We start from the raw sequence: 21,665 nt of genomic DNA on the forward strand, positions 1-21,665 counted from the left end.
GAATCATGTATAAGCAAACTGATATTTAAAAAAAATTAGAAAACTGAGGCTCAGAGAGGTTAAGAAGAGCCAAGATGACATCCCTAAAGGAAAAATACTACTGAATGATGATTCCTTCAGGAAACCTAATAGTTCTGTTCTGGTTTGTTCTGTCCTTATATTTACCACACTACATTGCATTCAATTCTTAATTGTCTGTTTCCGCACTCGAGTGAAATCTTCTTGCATCAGGACCTTTATTAGTCATCATTATGATCATTGTGTTCTAGACAATCAACAGCCACATTGTGAGTGAATGCATACATAAATGACTGTAATTTTATGGCAGCATTTTCATTGTATAGCATATCTATAAGCTTCATCCGACCTGCTGCAAGCCTGTTAGTGTTGATACTAGAATATATGCATGTGAAGTTTATATTTTCACTTTTTAAATCTTTATAATACAGTTAGAATAGGGTTAAAAATTTTTCTGGCCCAATTAATGTATTTTGCCCCTAAAATGTAAGTAAAATAAGTATTTAATTCACATACCTTGTATTTTTGCCATCAGAAAAATCATGCTTTTTAAAAAATAATTTTCATTTTCTGGACAAAGGAAGTTTCAAATATCTACTCTTTGAGTAATCTTTTCCACGAAAAGGAAAAAAGCCATTTCTTAAAGCCGGATTATATTTAGAGTCCTCTAGAGTCAATTTGACCCAGATTCAGCCTAGCCAGAAAAAGAAAAGGTGATATACAAAACAAAAAAAAGATTGAAACATGAAAGAAAATTAATAACTCTGTATTAAAATGGGCAATCAATAAGGCAAAGAATAATACAAACCCTTCAGATCATTGTAGTATGGGGTTTTGTCTGGCTGACTGATGTTGATTCTCTGGCTCCAGACTAACGTGACATGGACAGTGGTTCTATTTTCTTTTGGTTAATACATTGAAACTAGTGCTATCTGTTAAACATTACTACGGATAATCTTACATAGCTTGAAATTTAAAAGAGGAACACCTATAAGGCAATTTGATTTTATCCAGAAGATTCAAAACAGAAATAATTTTTTTCTTTTTTGGTTCAGCACACACAATGTGAGACTTAGGATGGTTCATCATAAAGAGTAGTTCATAATAAAGAGTGAATAAATTTATTACATCTAGGACTTTAAAATTACCAGGAATAATGCAAGTAGATGATAACACAAGTATAAAATATACATACATAAATGTATCTGTATTGGATGGTTACCAAAGATTATAATTTCTGCATTTTGATTTCTATATCTCCCATATTTTCTACAGCTGTCTGATTCCATTGTGATGTTGGACTGCTGTCGGCTTTCAAGTGCCCCCACCACCCTTTCCCTTTACTTGGGCAAGCTCATAAGAAAACTTGCATGGTCCCTCCTTTGTTGCCAGTAGGGAGTGTGAACTATAAAATGCTAGGTCTGTGGGCATGAACCCTCACCCTACACCCATCCCCCAACTACAATAAAAGCTGAACAAGTCTGCTTTCTCTACTCTCTCAAGTCGTCTCTGGACCTGTTTGGGAGGCTACCCTGCTCTCTGCAGAAAGCCTCATTATGTGAGTAATAAACCTTGTCATATCTTTTTAGTGCATGTGTAGCTACATCAGTCTTGACATCAGAATCAGACTTTGGATGAAGGTTCACCTACCTCTGTGGCCTGAATGATAGCCATCAATATATATTGTTTTATGATTTCAAAAGCACATAAAAATGAACAAAGTTTAAAAGGTTTTAATGACCCTCATCAACATATACCACCTCTCTCCCCCTCTTTCTCTCTCTCACATACACACACACACACACACACAGCAAGGTAAAATCTGTCACTTTTCAATATATATTTCCTGGATATTTTGAAAAAAAAATTTATATCAAATTATGGAGGAAATTAAACTATTACTGCTTTCAAATAATTTTCTGTGAAAACGTTAGAAGTAACTAATAAAATGGACATTGAGGGAATTTTGATCAGAGAGTATAATGAAAATTTCAAAAGTAGCTGGGCATGGTGGCTCACGCCTATAATCCCAGCACTTTGAGAGGCTGCAGTGGAAGAACTGCTTGAGCCCAGAAGTTCAAGACCAGCCTGGGCAATATAGTGAGACCTCACTTCTAAAAAAATAAGAAGAAGAAAATTAAAAAGTATTAAAAGTAAATATTTATCAAGTGCTATTATGAACTAGACTCTATTTTTAAAAGCTTTGTATGTATTAACTCACTTAGTCCTCATGACAACCTTATGCAGTAGATACTTTTATAATTCCATTTTACAGATAAGGAAACTAAACCACAGGGAGATGAAGTAACTTGCTCAAATCACAGAGCTAGGAAGTAAAAGAAGTTGGATTTGGAAACCCAGGAAACATTTTCAGAACCATATACTATAAAATCCCCCTTAACTGTCTCCTTTACAAAATTAAATAACACCATATTTAATCATAGTTATATTTTATATTAAATTTATTATCTATTTCATTTATGTGAATATTTTCTAAGTTATAACAGTTTGCAAGCCCTAAACTAGACGAAGCTGAGAACTGGCAGATATTATGGATTAAATTTGCATAGCATTTATTTTCCCTTTCCTAATAATGGTCCAGTTTTCCTCCATGCATCCACCTCTTCCCTCATGCAGCCCATATTCATAAAGGTGCACTAACCACATCCCTATCTCCTGGGAAATTTGTTTAGAGGTAATCTCAACACATCTGCCACGGTGATTGGGTCAGGAAAACAGACATAAGCCGATCAGCACATGGCCTTGCCCTGGCCTCAAGGACTGGTGCAGGAATGGACATGTAATCTAATTTACACCAGTGAAATACAAAGAAAGGTTTACGTGAAACTCCTGGGAAATAATTTTTCTCACTCTTAATTAAAAACAACCAGAAAAAAGTTTTCACTTCCTCTGAAAATCATGAAATGAAACTGTGAGGCTTAAAGTAACTAGTCCTTTTGCTTCCAAAAGAAGCCAGCCTGAAGATGAAGCCAATACACAGAGGAGGCTACAGCTGAGCAAACTGAAGAGAACCAGCCAAAGCCACTGGATTAAATCAGACTGAAGCCTGTCCCCTCTGAATGTTCGAGCATGGGAGTTAATAATATTTATTTGTTTATTTAAGCTAGTTTAATTTTGTTTTCTGTTACTTACAGACCTAACTCACATATACCTAAAATCAGACTGCCTCTAGTGATTTTATACCACTCTATCCTTCCAACAAACATCCATACAAAACACTCACTCTCTTGGTACCAATGTAACATTCCATATTCATGTTGAGAGGAAACGTCAATAACTTTTCTCTGGGATTTGTGCCCGTCGGTCTGTATTTTCATTTGTAGAAGTGTTCTTAACAGCCTTCCTTCCCTATTTGTCTTCATGATTAATCCCAGGCTTTCTCAAAGTTTGTTCCTGAGTGCCATGTTGTAACAGATTGGGGGAAGGAAGCTCATCACAAGCTTGAGATTGTTTTCAGTGTTTATTCCTTGTACTCCCTGAGTCACCCTGAGACAGTGACTAAGAGGATCACGTGGAAGGTCATTGAAGAATGAAATAAAGTTTGTCAAGTTGAGCACTTAGAAGCATGAAAGCTCACACATTAAAAAGTGGAGAAGTAGCCAACAATTGATAAATGGCTGAATAAATTACATTCTAGGTACTCCAAGAAATATTATGCAATTTTAAAAAATATATGACTAAAAACTATGTTAGACTATGGTAGACTCTGAAGAAATAACTTAGCCATCATACTAATAGGTTAAAAAAATACAAACTTGTCTACATAGTATTTATAATTTACTATTTGAAATGGGCATTGATTATTTTATTAAGGAAAATTTTACTGTTTTAACATAAGAATGCTTATTCATTTAAGATATGTGAACATAAAGTTATGGAGGAAACATTTAGCACTGCATAGCTTGAAGATCTCAATGTCCACTTTCCCAAAGAGGTTTTCTAAGCCAGAGGAGAAGTACAGTGTCCAAAATAAGACCTCACACCCCATAAAATTTAAATACTGTCTCTCAAGTGCTAAGAAACAAAAGACTGCCGGTCAGGTCTTCTGGGTCACTTGGCAAACTTTCAACCTCCTCCACAGCAATAAAACCATGCAAGAAGCAATATAGCTGAGGAGGGGGCAAAAATAGGATTGGAAGGAGTTGTGAATCTGTCTGCCTTCACCAGATTATGCAAGGAAAAGAGGCAATGAATTAGATAATACCGGGCTGCAAATCTGTATTTATCATAACTTTCCAAAAGTGAAGAGCAAAGTGAAAGATAGAAATGAAGGACAGACAAGAGGAAAGTGAGGTAGAGGAGAGGGAAATAGAAAGACAGATGCCAGAGATATGTAAATAAAAGGACAGATGATAAACTAGAATTATGGATGTAGATAAAGGAGTTAATAGAAAGGACAGAAAGAAAGTGAACAGAGAACAAGACAAGAAAGGATACTCCCGGCGGCGTCAGACCTGATGATGAAAACTTTGGCAAGACCCAGGGAAGGGAAGGTGGAGGAGAATGACAAATGTGCGGCATAAAAATCAATCATCTTTTCTAGATCTCTGCAGGAACAAATTTTCCAGAGATTTAGATTTGGTAAACAGACCAAGCCGGATCACATGAGGAACTTAAAGGGGATTTGACATGTCAAACACACAGAAGCCAAGGTTTGCCTATAATGTTGAAAATAACACCATGCATGGCCTTTTAGTATCAGGCTCATTTCAAATAACTGCAATTCATAGAGGCTTCCCTAAGAAACCCAAGACAGTGTACTAGTTTTTATTTAGCTGTAAGATATGGCAATAATAATTCATACTTGATTTATATAGCCTTGTTAATTTTTCCTCTTCAAAGAAAGGAAAACGCAGACTTCAAAACTATGTGTTGTGTCCATACATGCTTTGTATTGTTTGTTAACATGTTTACATTTAATATTTTAAATTGACTCTATATTTACTACAATGCGATAGAACTGTCGGACTGAAAGAAAAGCACATTTGAAAATAGTCTATACTTTCTGATTTTTAAAATTAAGATTCTTTAAGCATAAACTGTTACCTGAGAGTGAATTATGGGCTTAAATTGCTTTATTAATTTTCAGATCCAGCAGACCATAAGCATAGTGATTAAGAGAATGAGCTTTGGAGTGAGATAGACCTGCCTGGGTCCAGGACCCACCATTTATCATCATGTCTGGCCTTTTTCATAACATTTCTGACACAGAATCTCCCTGTCTTTAAGATAAAGATAGCAATCTCTGCCTCGTGGCTATTGTGAGAATTAAATAATACATATTGAGCTCTTAGAACAGCACCTGACACATGATAAATATTCAGTAAATGCTTCCACAAGTTCTGAATGTCATCATTGGTATTGTTAATGTCATCGTCGATATTATTGCCAATATTCTTATCAATGAGAGTGGGAATTTTACTAAGGAAACATCATTTCTTGTATAGTTGCTATATTCAGACACACTGAGGTCCCTGACTTTCTGTGTATAATTTCCTCTGCCTGGAAAGTCCCTGCCACCACCTACCACCACCTCCTGCCTGGCCATGTCCCACTCATCTCCCACTCTCAGCTAAAACATGGCTTCTTACTAGAACCCAACCTTCACTGATCCCGAAGGATGGAGTTGACCCGTAGCACCCGCTCTTCACCTATGCTATTCTCATCACATTACACTGTAATTCCGCGTTTATTTTATAGACCTGTATGCTCCTCATATTATACACAGACATACACACACAAGTGAGCTTAAGCTCTATGAAAACCTAAATCTATCTTCTGGGCTTTCATTTCTAATACAAACATATAGCCAAAGCATTCCTGGCACATACTAAGTCCCTAATAAATGCAATTTTGAATAAATGAAAGATAGTTAGCAAATAGATGTTAAGAAATTTTATAAAACCTATGTGCTAGACTAAATCATAAAATATCTACTAATCAGAAGCATCCCATAACTACTGAACTATTAAATTTACTGATTACTTACCAAGAGTCCCCTAACTAAAGTAACTTGACAATAAATAAATAAGCTTGACATAGTTATGTGATCTTTGAAGTCATCGCTGAAGAAAGCAGTTTAAATTACATGCCCTCAAGCAAATTTTTTACAAAAGTTATCTTTCTTTTCTGAGCCCAGCTATTTTAGTAGCTTCTTGAGTAGAAGTTACTTTTATGGGGAGAGTGAGAGAAAATAACCATCAGAACTTCATTTAAAAAATTCAGCTACTAAACATTTGTGAGTACCTCTTATGTTAGGTACACAGGCAGATGAAAGAAAAATGAAACACAGCCTTTCCCTTCAATGGGCTGACACATAAACAGATAATTTTTTACACCCACCTACCTCCCCCTACCAAATTCATTCATAAAGGATAGTTATTTACCATTTATACCTATTTACTTAGTTTTAAACCTGAGGAAGACTATTATTAAATGTAAGTATGTACATTTATTTCCTTTTTAACTGAGATAAACTAAGCATGCCAGACTGTATCACAATTTTACGATTAATTCAATCTTTTGAAAATAAATCAATTTCTCCAAGTGCTCATGCTCATAACATCTATCAAAGAGACAAGATGATTTGTATGTAACCTCTAAAATTTTACCCCAAAACACCTAATGATTTTTCCTCTTGGCAAAAGCTTCTGTAAACCTGTTGAAATTACTCGTGTTCTGTCCTTTGGGGACAATAGGCTAGATCAGCTCCCTCTCACACTGCATTTTTCTCAAGATTCACCAGGAACATTATAGACCCATTTAACAGGCGGCTGGTCTTGTTTCTTTTTCCCACTTTCTCCACCCCAAGAATGATATACTAGATTTCTTTTTTCTTTTCCTTTTTCTTATGCAAATATCCAAAGTAGTGGGGACATTCCTAAGAGCAGACAGAATTTAAACCAAAAGATTAATTTCATGAACCTGCATGGAACAAGAGCTTTGCTTGTGGAACAGGAAATGAATGGGGTTTTTCCATTCTTCAAAGCTGAGGAAAGTGAGTGAGAACTATGAAGATACCAGTTCTTTCATAATACGGTAAGTCATTAGAGAAAAAATTAGGCTCCAGAAAAGATACATACAGATAAACATTGTCACCATTTCCCTTTCAAAGTTAGGAACACCTTAATTTGTATTTACACATTCTGCCTTCTCCTCACCAAGGCAATGCTTAAAGTGGCTCTTAGGCTTTATGTATGTATAAAGAAAGCTTTGGTTTTGATGCATTAAGGAACTAGGATGTGACTGCTCCTAGCATCTGACTGTTGAGTATTCGCATCCTTCCTTCCTGCAATGCAGTTCATTCTCAATAAGTGACAAACCCTTATTTCAAATTCAGAAGCTATGGTTCTATTTTCCATGATACTAACACCCCTACAGTATGCTTCAGGATTCTGGTAGGAAAAAGATTCACTCCAAATCAACCAAATGAAGAAACTCCAATGAAGTGAGAACTTACATTAGTTTTGGGCATGATGAAGGAAACAAACAAAGAATGGTGAGACACCCAGAGACTTCAATAGTGGGAAGCAAAAATTAGCACCACTGGCACTGAAGGAAGAAAGGGAGAAAATATTGTTCCAGGAACCCAGAGAGACCTGAGGTTGAGAAGCAGGGACCAGTGATGGGAGCTGTAGCCATAGAAGATGGAATAGGAGGAAAAGGAAGTAAACACTCTGACCCCTTTTTCCTCCCATCCTCTTATTCTCCCATTGATCTCCTATTGACCAAATCCAACTGGAGGATAGCAATCAGCTATGGGGGAATCCAGGTAATGAAATCTGTAGGGATCAGTGTCCCGGAGTAAAACACAGGATAGAAAAGGGCAAAGAATGTATCTTGGATTGAAAGAAATATATAAAGAAAAAAATTTACAGACACACCCAAGTAAGACTTGTTAGTAGGTCACTAGACTGTTTATCATTTAACAATATTTATCCCTGGTGGTCTAAAGAAGAGAACCATAGGGAGCTCTCCTGGTGAGGATTCTGTAATGCATTTATGTATAAATAGTACTGTCTCATTTCCTCTCTCCTCAAGCCAAATAAGTCTTCCAAAGAGAACTACTGAAAAAGATAGAAAAGATGCTCTCCAGAAAGACAGACTGCCAGACAATATCCTTGCTGAGAACAAAAGCTCACAGTCAACCCTATATTACCACGGGCACAGAGTGAGAGAAGGTTCTTGGCTTTTTTCCTCTGGAGTTTTAGGACATAGATTCTGATGTCTGACCTCTTTTGAAGAGATGAGAACAGATAACTGGCCAGAAAAACCATGACACCTGAGTGAAGAAAGAGTAGTTTAGTGAGATCATGCCACAGTCCCAAGGATTAGGTTGACACTAAGGAAGATATATGGGCATGAAGCAACTAAGAAAACATTGCCCAAAATGACTGCTTTCCAGGGCCATGAGATACCAGCATAACAAGGCTCTATGGGTATTGGAGAGCCAAGAGAGAACTAGCAGTCTTTGTTAATTTAAAGGCGCTTTTTCTCTCATCCTCCACTCACCTCTCCTTCTTCCATCCTGAAGCAACCTGACGTATGGAAAGGAAAGGCAGAAGCAAGAAAAATAGAACAATAATTCACCAGATCCCCCTAGCCCACTGCTGGCCACTTAGTCACTAGGCAGGGAAAGAGAGAAGCTTTGATTTGGATGAGAGATCGAAAACAGTTTTCTTTTGGATTATACCAAACCACTAAATACCTAAAAGTAGCTTGAGATCAGACACCTGGCATTGACTATGCAGAAGGCTGCAAAACCTCAGACAGACTCCAAATTAGAGGAACCAGGTCCTTCTAAAGTATAAGTTGAAGGGTGGGCCAGAAAACAGGCAGATGTATTGAAAATCATGATAGACAACAATCAGAGCCCCAGATTTCCCTCCTAACTCTTATCCTAGTCATGGGGCTTCTCCTCTTCCATCCCAAAGAAGACTGAGTAACAGCCCTCCCTCGAGTAGAGAGGCTTTTAAGATTGCACAGCTAAGAATGACAATGAGGCACCACAATGAAAAGAGGGGATTATGTGACAGTTGACCCACCTAACACTGGGAACCCTTCACCTCTTTGCCCACCTGGAAACCAGAACACTGGCAGCTGCGCTGTCCTAGCAAGTGTCTTGGATTCTTATAAAAGCAAGCTAGTGGGACACTCATGGTGGCTGATGCCTGTAATCCCACACTTTGGGAGGCAGATGGAGCACTCAAGCCCAAGAATTCAACACCAGCCTGGACAACATAGTGAAACCCCATCTCTACAAGAAATACAAAAATTAGCCAGGCATGGTGGCACGTGTCTGTAATCCCAGCTACTTGGCAGGCTGAGGTGGAAGAATCAGCTGAGCCTGGGGAGATTGAGGCTACAGTGAGCCAAGATCATTCCACTGCACTCCAGCCTGAGTGACAAAGTAAGACTTTGTCTCAGGGAAAAAAAAAAAAAAAGGAACTCACTGGCCTAAAAGGGAAGACACCTTGAAGAGGGAAATTGAATGGCAAGTGTCAAGGAGGAAGGAAGATACACTTTCCATTGAGTAACCTTCTTACTGTTTGAAGGGTTGGCCATTTGGATATATTGCCTATTAAAAATCATAAATATATGCATTTTAAACTATAATGAATTCCTCAAAGAGATATAAGAAGATATCGAGGCCGGGTGCAGTGGCTCACGCCTGTAATCCCAGCACTTTGGGAGGCCACGGAGGGTGGATCATGAGGTCAGGAGTTCGAGACCAGCATGGCCAATACGGTGAAAACTCATCTCTACTGAAAACACAAAAATTAGCTGGGTGTGGTGGCATACACCTGTAGTCCCAGCTACTCGGGAGGCTGAGGCAGAAGAATCGCTTGAACCTGGGAGGTGGAGTTTGCAGTGAGCTGAGATCATGCCACTGCACTCCAGCCTGGGCAACAGACCGAGACTCTGCCTCAAAAAAAGAATAAAAAAGTTGTTTCAGAAGATATTGAGTCTGTGAAACAAACAAACAAAAAAAGGATGCTCCAACAGAAGGAACAGTCTAACACCAGAAGGGATCTGTTAGAAACGAGAACATGATCACAAAAATAAAATGTGATAGAATGAAAGTTTCCAGAGATAGAAAGCAAGCTACATAAAAAATACTTGGAAATCAAAATGTTACCTTCTCAGCAGCAAAACTGAGCAATGGAGAAATATCTTCACAATTCTAAGGAAAAGATTTTTCTACCTAGAATTCTAAACCTAGCCAAATTCACGATCATTTTAGAGGGTAAAATAATATTGTGTAAAATATCAAAACAAATGTAATTCCTATCACCTTTTTCAGAAAGCCACCAGCGCATGTGAACCAAAAAAATGGGAGCAAAAAATCAAAAAACAGATATGAGGTCAAGAAAATAGGAGACTCAACATAGAAGAGACAAAAACTTCTCTAGAGTGTCAATAAAAATTAGGATCTAGAAAACAATTAGTCAAGAGTGAAGCAGGAGGACAGAAGCCTCCATAAAGGATGTGTCCAAGAAGAAAGAAACAGAGGAAGGAGGAAAGGATGGTGAGAGGACAGGAAAAAAGAAAGAAAACAAGGAAAAGGAAGGAAGGAAGGAAGACTCTCTTCCATGTTGAGTCTCCTATTTTCTTGACCTCATATCTGTTTTTTGAAGGAAGGAAGGAAGGAAGGAAGGCAGGCAGGCAGGCAGGCAGGCTCTCTTCCATGTTGAGTCTCCTATTTTCTTGACCTCATATCTGTTTTTTGAAGGAGGGAAGGAAGGAAGGAAGGAAGGAAGGAAGGAAGGAAGGAAGGAAGGAAGGAAGGAAGGAAAGGGAGGGGAGGGGAGGGGAGGGGAGAGGAGGGAAGGAGGGAAGGAGGGAGGGAGGGGAGGGGAGGAGGGAAGGAGGGAAGGAAGGAGGGAAGGAGGGAAGGAAGGAAGGAAGGAGGGAGGGAGGGAGGGAGGGAGGGAAGGAAGGAAGGAAGGAGGGAGGGAGGGAGGGAGGGAGGGAAGGAAGGAAGGAGGAGGGAGGGAGGGAGGGAGGGAGGGAGGGAAGGAAGGAAGGAGGGAGGGAGGAGACAAAGAAGAGAGGAAAGATATATTTGACTAAATTGAAAGGACTCTTGTAATTCCCAGAAAATTGGAAAATAGATTCGTGAAAGTATCTAAAAAGTATTTGAGAGAGAGAGAAGGGCCAGGTGTGGTTATCTCGTGCTTGTAGTCCCAGCTACTCAGGAAGCTGAGGGAAGATCGCTTGAGCCCTGGAGTTTGAAGCTGCAGTGAGTTATGATCGTGCCACTGCATTTCAGCCTGGGCAACAGAGCAAGACCTTGTTCCAAAAAAAAATAAAATAAAATAAAGAAAGAAAGAAGGAAAGAAAGAGAGAGAGAGAGAAAAGAAAGAGAAGCAATTATTAACTGTAAAAAATAATATGATTAAAGTAAACAACCTGGCTCAACTGTGAAAAATATTTGCTTATTTGTAACACTGACTAATACTTTAACTAAAACGTGTGATACAGCTGTATCCGCAGACTGAGGTGTGGTGAGCTGGGCGGGCAGCAAAGTATACTGCAGGTTGAGAGAGCTAAATCTCCATCTTCCACAGTAATTAATCTAAAATTGTCAAAGTAAGGAATAACAGTTTAATAATTTTATTCTATAATATAGAGGTAAATAATAGAACAATCAATTGAAAGACTTTGAAGTAGATACTTTTGAAGAATGAGAATTGCAGAAGGGTTGGGTAGAGATTGGTTGGAAATTCTTGCTGTTATAAACTTGAGAGTATTATTTCAAATCTTAATCTATAGACACATATACAATATGTTATATGTGTGTATGTATATTACTATGATAGACATTAAATTTTAATAAAAAATTAAAGGATCAGCGATAAAATTTACACTTTTCTCCATTATATTCTGAGAAATTTGTAAGGCAAGATACTTATTAAAGTAATGAAGCCGGGCGTGATGGCTCACGCCTGTAATTCCACCACTTTGGGAGGCCAAGGCGGGTGGATCGCCTGAGGTCAGGAGTTCGAGGGCCTGGCCAACCTGGCAAAACCCCGTCTCTATTAGCAGGGTGTGGTTGTGCACACCTGTAATCCCAGCTACTTGTGAGGCTGAGGCAGGTGAATCGCTTGAACCTGGGAGGCGGAGGTTGCAGTAAGGAGAGATCGTGCCACTAAACTCCAGCCTGGGCAACAGAGTGAGACTCTGTCTCAAAAATAAATAAATAAAATAATAAAGTAATGGGAGATGTTTCCATTGCAAGTTTGAAGAAATTTTACTTTCCAAAACTACCCTTTAGCCTCAATGTGAGTAACACAAAGAACATGGAGTTTGGAGTCAATATAACCAATATTATGCTAATATTGCCAACTTCAAAGGATTCTTACAACAAATAGAGATAATCTATGTGAATAGCCTGGCATATAGTAGGTACAAAATAATTGTCTTTATTATCATTATCTTTAAAGTAGCTTATAGTCAGCTATAACCTTGCATAATACTGTTTCTATCAAACTTATTTTCACAGATAAAAAACATCAGTAAGGAAGAGAAAGTGCTAAATACATAATGGCCACATTAATGCCAAGAGGTAATTAGATGATTATAAGATCCTTGTCCTAAGGTGTAGTAGCAATTAGTGCTATTCACCAAATATTCCATCAGGAGCCTTCTAAACATATGGCTGGGGGAAGGGAAGCATGAAATTACTTTTGTCCCATGTGCTGTGAGCAGGAAGTAGTGTGTGTCATCTGGGCCAGGCATTTAATTGCAAAGCAAGACCATCCAAAGCTCTCTTTTCCACCTGGCATAGTGACCAGTAATGTTCAAAACAGTGGCCACTCTCTCAGCCTTGGTTCCTGAGTGACTACAATGTGCAAAGCTTCCCTGAAAACCCACAATTAACATGCAATGTGAGCAAAAAATAAAACTTACTCTTAGATCGGTGAGTTTATTTGTTACTATCCTAACCTAACCAATAAATTAATGATGACAATTGTCTGGCCAGCAACCCATCAGATACTCATTCTCTCTCTCTCTCTCTCTCTCTCTCTCTCTCTCTTCCCACCCCTCCTTCTGTCTCTCCTTTTTCTATTAGGTCTAAAATTAATAATAAATATATGGCAGGAGGTACTTACCTGAAAGATGGAATAGTCACGTGCATGCTTGATAAGCACACACAGAAAGAAATTCTGCAGAAAAAAAGAAGAGCAGACTATGTGCCTATCCTGTGCAGAGAGTAGAGACGAGACTCTCATAGGGACAAAAAATGAAAGTAAATGAATGACAATTGTGTGGTTCCTTTGAGCTGGGCTATATTTCCTATATTTTATTTCTAAGAGAAGCCATTATTTTCTCTTGGCAAGCCTTTTTGTTACTTGAGCTAGTTTGAATGGGTTTTATTTCCCTTTACAACAAAATGAATGCTGATTAAAACTGCACCTTGGATTACAGCAAGACACATGGTGCCCAGGAACAATACAGGTAGCATATTGCTAAAAAGGAGAACAGCAGAGAGATTAAAGGGATAATTCCTTGCTCCACAGCCCAACAGTGAAGCCAAACAGTGCAGTTGCCAATGACAAACTCAGAAAACCCACAAATAAGCCCCAATGAGAACAGCATATCATAATGAATGTTCATGATCTGTTTGCTGAAATAGAAAAGCAGTTGCTCATTTTCTGAATTAAAGAAATTCTAATATTCTATGTAGTAAAATATCTACATAAAAATGTGTCATCCATGAAAAAATGTTAATATGCAGAAATCTCAACCCAAGGAGAATGTACATTAGGCCCAAGCACAGCTCATCTGGTATGTACAAGTGCTGCAGGGAAAACTAGAACACCTGCATGAACATTTGATTACTTAACCAGGGCTTTTGTCTAGTCTGTCAAATCCCTCTGTTAGAAATCCCTCTTTCTGACACAATAACAACAGAACCAGTTTTTCAAATGAATGTTCTTTGACTCCAAAGAGCAAGCCAGGACTCATACTCGCCGTGTGTGTCACCATCTCCTTTCAGGAGACAGTTGGTAATTACTGCAGGGCTTCACTCTGGAGAGGGTTTGCCCCTGCAACTTTCACTGATTTGTTTAACTAGCAGTGAAATGAGATTTACATGCCTTTCTCCCAAGGTGGTCTTCTCTAAAAACCACAGCAAAATGTTCATCTGCAAGCTGAGCTCATGGGTAAATAAAAGCAGGTCCCTTCTTTCCTAAAGTGGAAGGTCTAATTTTACAGTCTTGATTGCTTTCCTAATTACAGACCCCAATCATTGCCACAGTACCAAGTGGTGACAAGAGTTCTGTAACTGGTTATATATCCCATCCCAATCATGAACCTCCTCATTCAAGTTCAATACAGAAGCATCTCAAATCCACACTGTTGCAGGTACTCAAAACTTCACTTAAACAAAAGCTTCGATCCCCTTTTCACTGGTTCTCCATTCTCCCTACTATACCTTTACCTCTCTATTGTGTCACCAAGAAAATATGCTCTTTTCTTCCAATAAAAAAATTAAAATAAAAAAAAAACCTAGTCCAAAGGACAAGCATCACCTCCTATGAATATAATGCTGAGGAATAACAAAGCAACACAGATACTAAAGCCACGAGAGATTTTGTTTGCTTTGCTCATTTCTCAAAAATAAGATGAGTGGAGACAAGGAGGGTATGTATCACAGGCAGATTCCCACCCCTTTGGCTGGGAAGTAGGCAGACACAATTCTACCAAGAATATGAAAGTCTTAAAGTAAAATGAGAGTTGCAGGCAACTTTTTGCAGGAGAAAAATCCACAGAAAAGCATCAGTCCATCCCAGAAGAGTTCATTAGAAGAAAACACTGGCCTCCATCTGTCCACACTCTTCCACTTGAGAATTTGAAAAACCCAAAGATTCCCCTGAAGATGTGCCTTCATCCCAGGCACTATGCCAACTCAAATCTGGGAGGAAGAACAGAGGAAAGCATTTTAACTGAAGCCTAGGCATAGAACATAGTACTTTGTAATTCAGTAGCATTCCTGCTCCATATGTCTAAAATTCTTTGCAAGTATGGGTTTTATTAAGCTCCTTTTTAGAAAACAGGAAAGTAAACTGAGGTGGAATAAAGGACTTAAGTTTCACTCCACTAGCAGGGCAGTAAAAAAAAATAGAGGGAGGATCCTAGAAACACCTATTGTGAACTGGGCCTCTGATGTCTAAGATGCTGCCAGTCGCCCCAGCTCTGAATCACCTCCACCTCAAGGAACAAGGTGGCACAATTACACCTAAAGAGGGCTAAAAGGTGATGAGAAGAATCTCAGCAGTGAAGAGGTCACTGTGAGGTCACTATCCACTACCCAATCTTGGAGATTAAGGAAACAGGGAGGAAGAGACCACATCAGCTCTCCCCCAGCCGGCTGCAGGTCTATTGCCTCACTGAATAGCAACACTATCATGCTAACTCAGCTGGTCCCAGCAGTGAGGTTTAATTCCTGTAATTATTAACTTGAACAAGAAATTATTCCACCTACTCATTTTTTTCTCACAAAAAATGAGTGCAAATAAGGTAAACAGAGTCACATCTTAATTTTCATTCTCTCCAACTACCTCTGCAGTTAGTTTTATCCATCCAAGGTGCTAACTATGAAAAAAAAATACTGTAAACAAAGAACAATTTGCATGTTTAATGGAGAAAAATTTTAGAATTACTTTATTAAAAATTAGAGTATTTCGGCCAGGTGCGGTGGCTCACCCCTGTAATCCTAGCACTTTAGGAGGCCGAGGCGGGTGGATCACGACTTCAGGAGATCGAGACCATCCCGGCTAACACAGTGAAACCCCGTCTCTACTAAAAATACAAAAAATTAGCCCGGTGCAATGGCAGGCTTCTGTATCCCAGCTACTCAGGAGGCTGAGGCAGGAGAATGGCTTGAACCCGGGAGGCGGAGCTTGCAGTGAGCCGAGATTACACCACTGCACTCCAGCCTGGGTGAAAGAGAGAGACTCCGTCTCAAAAAAAAAAAAAATTAGAGTATTTCTCTCTTCATTCTGGCAGGCTTCTTACTCTCCTCCCCACAAAGTACACTAAAGTGTGCAAGCATGATGTCCTAATGAAGGCTACAGAGAAAGAGTAGCTCAGTGGCACTTGCTATCAGAGAATATATTTACTTATCTTACATTTTCTCCTTGCAGGCAGTCATTTTTTTATGACCCATTTTCTAGAGAAAACTCTTTTTGGGGGTAAACCAATAATTAACTAACCTGAGCAACATCAATCAAGGCCGAATTTCACCTAATGGTGAAAAATCAGGTCTATTTGACTGACTTCTTTTTTTCAAGGCTTTTATTACCCAAATCTCTGCCCACATGTATATATATATATCGCTTAAAATAAGAGAATATGCAGGAGTACAGACTTTATCCTCCCTATATCTAGAAATTCTTAAACCTTTATATTTTACCACTGTATATTCTTAAGTTTCGTATTTATGAATAGCACACAACATTCTTTTAAGTTGAGCTACTCCTAATATGATTTCCAGTTTACAGATAAGGAAACTGAGGCACCAAAACAGATTAGATATATCATTGTTCTTCACAGTTAAGAGTCTACTGTTGACAATATTAAGAGAGACAACAGGGCAAGTCAGTTACAAAGCTGGATTAAACCTTCATGTTCTCCTAGGTTCATGCTTGATCAAGGAACCACCTTGTCATGCCCTCATGGTCATGAAGGTGTGTCAACTTTTTATAATGTCACTCACTTTAAAGGAACCCTGTCTTTATTTAGTTGGCCCTTTATCTTGGTCCTGCCTATTTCAGATCAGCTGTCTGCATATTTCCATGTTTTGAGTATACTCAAGAGCAAGACTGTAAAGAATACAAAAATAAATCAGACCATAAAGATTATCAGCCTGAATGCCACTAGGAGACAAAAGAAACTGCCACAAGGAACAAGGGAAATTAACATTCTTTCCTATCCACCTGGCAAGAACGGAGATCAAACTGAACTTGTTTGCAATCCCTGTTAACAAGGAAGCACTAAAAGCATAGAGATTCCTCTAAAATATTCTGGAGCTACAAAAACTGAGGTTTCCAAAGACCCTCTTTCACCATTTATTATTCTCCCCCGGTAACTCCATGTTTTTTTATATTCTCCTGATTAAACTGCCATAAATTTTTTCTGAAACAAAATAAGGAATGGATTAATGAGTGGATGAATACCAGAAAACATGCAAGCTTTATAATCAGACAGACCTGGTGTTGAATACCAGCTTTGACATTTATTAGGTGGGTGACACTGAGCAAGTTACTTAGCCTCTCTAACCTACTTAACCTCTCTGAGCCACAGTGTTCTCATCTGCTTAAAAGATGGATAATAATGCCTCCCTCTTGTAATGATTTTAAAAGAATGTATATAAAGCACTTTATATACATATCTACTGGCACAGTATAAATATCTACTGGCACACAGTAGATATTCAGTAACTAGTAGCTATTAATTAGAGCTTCTAATCAGCCTGAATTACCAATAAAAACCATTCGGCATCAACGTAGTTCCAGAGTGAGAGAAAGACTTAAATCAGCCTGACTAGCTTTATCACATGCTAGTCCATGTGATCAAGTTAACTCCAGTGAGCAAGCCAGGATTAATTCTATACAGGCATTTTGGAAATAGTTTGCAGCTGCCCGATTATTACCTCCAGTAGTTAATGGGCATTCAGGGGCTACCAAATGCAATGTTAATACTCTTTACCTCTCTGTGCAAAGCAAAATATATTTCATCAATGTATTTGGAAACAAGTAATGAAGTTCAAAATGTCCTTAATCTCATTTGTAGAATCTACTAAGTGATTTAGTGCAATAAATATTCAATATTAAATTCCAGTTACTATAAATTATTTTTTGAGAAATTGAAAATTCCTCTATTAGAGTGAGTTTCTAGATTCAGCAATTGAAGTCATGTGACATTATATATTGCCATTTAAAACCTCTGGGCCAGGCGCAGTGGCTCACTCCTGTAATCCCAGGACTTTGGGAGGCCGAGGCGGGAGGATGACAAGGTCAAGAGATTGAGACCACCCTGGCCAGCATGGTGAAACCTCGTCTCTACTAAAAATACAAAAATTAGCTGGGCATGGTGATGAGCACCTGTAGTCCCACAGCTACTCGGCGGGGCTGAGGCAGGAGAATCGCTTGAACCCGGGAGGTGGAGGTTGCAGTGAGCCGAGATCGCACCACTGCACCCCAGCCTGGGCAACAGAGCAAGATTTGGTCTCAAAAAACAAAACAAAACAAAACAAAAACAACCTCTGAGCTATGATTTCTCACATGTCTAATGAAAAGGTTGAACTCGGTTTCTAGTTGAAATGCTTCCTTTTACCACGTCACACATTTTGTGTGTGAAAGATGGGCAGCAGTGGGTAGAAAAAACTGTTGAAGTAGGAGAGGAAAACAAACAAAAAATGTTATTGTCCCTTAAAATTGAAATGAGTTATCCAGATCATGCATTCAAAGCTCTAAAATTCTATGATTCTCAAAAGACGATTGTACCACATATATCTTTTTATCTCTTCCCCACCTTCATCTCAACCCAATGTATTTTCTACAGTAAGCATTCAATAATATTTGTCAATGAAGAAACAAATGAATGCATAAACTTTTTTAAAAAAAGCTTAAAGGCCATAATCTAATAGTCAAAGAATTGTCTCAGGTCTTGCTCTTCCTATATACTTTAATTCCAGTGCATAAATACATAACAACCATGATTTGTCCCTAGAAACATCTCCAGGGTAATTGTATGAGAATAGAAGACTAGACAGAAAATAGCAGTGATGCTGGTGGATCACAAAATGGAAGAAACGTTAAAATTTATTCTGAAAATTAAAAAAAAAGGCAAGTGACATTTTTCTGGGTTTCTATTTTAAGTTAAAATGTAGTGGAACAATCTGCTAAGAAAATTAATTCAATATGTGTGAAAGATAGAATTCCAATCAAACAACCAGCTTTTGAAATCTGTATAGTCACATGGTAGAAAATCAACAGTAAAAGACCAAGGACTTCTGTTTTAATTTCACACTTAGTTTGGATGAAGCCACAAACTTTGCCAAGCACGTGAGGAATACTTTCTGCTGAATAGTTTTAATTTGATCTAATTGTTCTTGACAGTTTCTTTGATTACATCATGGATTCTGCACATTAAAGATGGGCCGTGGGTAGAGAAAGCTATTCAAGTAGGAAAGAGAAATAGAAAAAAAAATTAAGCTGCTTTCCTTTAAAATTGTAATAAGCTCTCCAAGTCATACTAAACTGTATTATGTAATGTATGAAAAAAGGGAAATGAAGTTAGCAAAAATTATATTACATTCAGTGTTGGGAGTATTAGCTCTCATTATTATATTTTCAATAATTCAATAAATTATCACACCTACAGTGCATTTTATCCTTTAAATTATGTTAAATCAGTAGTCAAATTTTACTTAGGAATTAAGGTTTCACTTTATTGATGCCTTCCTTTAAGTAAGCTGCATTTCATTGTGGTATTGGAATGAGATTTATTAACATTTTTATTCTCCCAGACTTTGCCACCTTTCCCCACTCCTCACTCTCCACCTAGAGAGTGTTAGCTTGGACCACTCAGCTTTCCTGCCCTCTATGGAGAATTTCATCTTGCCATTTCAATGCCTCTCCTCATATTTTCTGGGCATCTTCAGGGATACCCTCAGAGTAACCTGAATATCCTCTGAGCCCTGATAGTTATGGGTCCCAGGTAACCCTAATTTCCCAGTCGTCAAACCAAGCACAGTAGCATCAACAGAATACCTCTATTGTCCATTAAACAACAGCAAGGAGGATAGAAACCAGTAACTTCATATAATCAGACCAGCTGCTTGCAATTCTGAAGAACATCTGCTAACAAGTCTCATACTTTCTTTTTGATAGGCCAGCATGTGTTGTTAAGTGGTCTATTCAAATCTTAACTCTGGCCCTAATAATATCCCCTGTTAAAATAGCGAGAATATCAAAGCAGAAAATATGCAAAAAAATTACTAGATATGACCAATAAACAATAATTATATAAAAACAATAATATCCTTTTTAAAAGTTTCAGTGGTGAGAGATAGGAATCAAAAGTGTAAATATAAATACAAGACCAGATAGTGAATAATTAGAGGATGTGGGTGTATCTTTCAAATGGATTTGTGGAAAAAAACATGGAATAGAAGTTAGTAGATGCTGAAAGTAAAGCATGAACTTACAGCAGGGATCAGCAAACTATGGCATGCTGCCTGCCTTTGTAAATAAAGTTTTATTAAAACATAGCCTCACCCATTCTTTTGCATGCTATCTATGGCTGCTTTCCCATTACGACAGCAGAGTTGAGCAGCTGCAGTAGAAATCAGATGGCCCACAAAGCTTAAAATATTTACTATCTGACACTTTATGGAAGAAATGTTTGGTAACCTCTGTCTTAGACTTTAAAAAATCATCATGAGGAAAAAAGTCTGATTAAGTTCATACCTTAAGTTCATACCTTGAATTATTTCACATATTAGGCTATATATGAGTGATCTCAATTTCACCATTTGGTGGAAGTGACAAATTTGGAGAGGTCTATGCTATTCTATAGATTTTTAATATAGGGCTAATTTGTAAAGTATACCCTTGTCTACTCTTGCAAAAATACTAAGGTACAAAATTTCTTTGCATATTTGAGTTATAACATCTTCCAAATAAAAATAAGAATATACTGTAAAAGCATCTGAGGAGGATGAAGAAAAAGAAAAGGCCTTTAGGGATGGTTCAGGGAGAGAGTCTGAAGGAACCTAAGGAAAAAGTCAGCACTGCCAAAGTTCTCTGTGGTTAAAAGTTCTGCTAACCATCTGTTTATCAGCTAATTGCGACAACCTCAGCTACTCTGCCTCTATTAAGTGGTGAAACTGGGCCTCACCACTCCTGAATCCTGTGATCCTCAGTGAAATCAGGAAGCCCATTTCAATGGCAGCCTTTCCCATGTTCAACTCCAGCCTAGAGAGAACAACTCTTATACATTTGGGTATCCTTTATCCAAAATACTTGGGACCAGAAATGTTTCAGATTTGGGATTTTTTTTTCAGGTTTTGGAATATTTGCATATGCATAATGAGATATCTTGAGGATGAGACCCCCAAGACCAAAAATTATATAAAACATGATATTTATTTGTTTTATATATATATATATATATATATATATTATACAAAATGCTGAAGGTAATTTTATACAATATTTTTGGTAACTTTAGCATGAAACGAAGTTTGTGTACACTGAACCATCAGAAAGCAAAGGGGTCACTATTTCAGCCACCTATGTGGACAGTCTATGGTTGTTTGGCATCACCATCATCCCTGATTCTGAATTCATCTGCTACAAATAACCAATCATTTTCTTACACTTATTCACCTATAAGTACTTAACAGTAAAAAATATGATATACCATTAATACAGTAAAATAATAATAACAACAATGTTTTCAGGGTAACCAAGCACAGTAGCATCAACAGAATACCTCTATTGTCCATTAAACAACAGCAACAACAAACAATGGCAGGCTTCCCATCTCCACCTGTGATTCTGTGTTTTGATTAAAAGGTTACTGTACACTGTATCTCATTGTTTTAGGTGTGA

The 21,665-nt window shown here is 38.0% G+C and overlaps 1 long non-coding RNA gene across 4 annotated transcripts in view, besides 1 other annotated feature; it reads right to left on the reverse strand.

Annotated features, from left to right (window-relative positions):
* LINC02945 (long intergenic non-protein coding RNA 2945) overlaps positions 1–21,665 on the reverse strand; it is a 308,805-nt gene that overhangs the window by 185,011 nt on the left and 102,129 nt on the right. The window lies entirely within an intron of this gene.
* Positions 3,023–3,092: a silencer, noted in NCBI's record as "silent region_15631". NCBI's record gives its function as "represses an Ori minimal core promoter by ATAC-STARR-seq in GM12878 lymphoblastoid cells {active_cell/tissue: GM12878}" and the evidence as "EXISTENCE:reporter gene assay evidence [ECO:0000049][PMID:35858748]".

Source organism: Homo sapiens, chromosome 4 (assembly GCF_000001405.40).
Source record: "Homo sapiens chromosome 4, GRCh38.p14 Primary Assembly".
Lineage (NCBI taxonomy): Eukaryota > Metazoa > Chordata > Mammalia > Primates > Hominidae > Homo > Homo sapiens.